A 1,454-nucleotide genomic window follows, 5' to 3' on the forward strand; every position below is an offset into this window, starting at 1 on the left:
TTTGTCACGCAGGTACTTAGCCTAGTACCCAAGAGTTATTTTTTTCTGATGCTCTCCCTTCCTCCACCCTTTACCTTCAAGTAAGCCTTAGTGTCTCTTGTTCCCCTCTTTGTGACTATGTGTTGTTGGGAACAGGCCCCCAAATCTGGCCATAAACTGACCCCAAAACTGGCCATAAACAAAATCTCTGCAGCACTGTGACATGCTCGTGATGGCCATGACGCCTACTCTGGAAGGTTGTGGGTTTACCAGAATGAGGGCAAGGAACACCTGGCCCACCCAGGGTGGAAAACCACTTAAAGGCGTTCCTGAACCACAGACAATAGCATGAGCGATCTGTGACTTAAGGACATGTTCCTGATGCAGATAACTTCCTTTTGTTTCGGCCAATCCCTTTATTTCCCGTAAGGAATACTTTTACTTAATCTATAATCTATAGAAACAATGCTCATCACTGGCTTGCTGTCAATATATATGTGGGTAAATCTGTGTTGGAGGCTCTCAGCTCTGAAGGCTGTGAGACCCCTGATTTCCCACTCCACATGCTGTATTTCAGTGTGTGTGTCTTTAATTCCTCTAGGGTGGCTGGGTTAGTGTCTCCATGACCAAGCAGGTCTCGGCAATGTGTTCTCATTATTTCATTCCCACTTATAAGTGAGAACATTTGATCTTCACTTCCGACATTAGTTTTCTAAACATGATGGCCTTCAGCTCCCTCTATGTCCCTGCAAAGGACATGATCTCTTTCTTTTTTATGGCTGCATAGTATTCCATGGTGGATATATATCACATTTTTTTAATCCAATTTGTCATTGATGGGCATTTAGGTTCATTCCATGTCTTTGCTACTGTGAACAGTGCTGCAACAAACATGTCTACATGCGTCTTTATGGTAGAATGATTTATATTCTGCCCAAGGCTGTGGGAGCCTACCTCTTGCATCAGCATGACTTGGATGTGAGACATGGAGTCAAAGGAGATCATTTTGGAGTTTTAAGATTTGACTGCCTGCTGGATTTTGGACTTGCATGGGGCCTGCAGCCCCTTTGTTTTGGCCAATTTCTCCCATTTGGAATGGCTGTATTTACCCAACACCTGTGCCCCCATTGTGTCCAGGAAGTAACTAACTTGCTTTTGATTTTGCAGGCTCATAGGTGGAAGGGACTTGCTTTGTCTCAGATGAGATATTGGACTGTGGACTTTTGAGTTAATGCTGAAATGAGTTGACATTGGGAGACTATTGGGAAGGCATGAATGGTTTTGAAATGTGAGGACATAAGATTTGGGAGGGACAAGGGGTGGAATGATATGGTTTGTCTGTGTACCCACCCAAATCTCATCTTGAATTCCCATGTGTTATGGGAGGGACTTGGTGGGAGGTAATTGAATCAATTGAATCATAGGGGCAGATCTTTCCCATGCTGTTCTCACAATAGTGAATAAGTCTCATGAGA

Source organism: Homo sapiens, chromosome 14, assembly GCF_000001405.40.
Source record: "Homo sapiens chromosome 14, GRCh38.p14 Primary Assembly".
Classification (NCBI taxonomy): domain Eukaryota; kingdom Metazoa; phylum Chordata; class Mammalia; order Primates; family Hominidae; genus Homo; species Homo sapiens.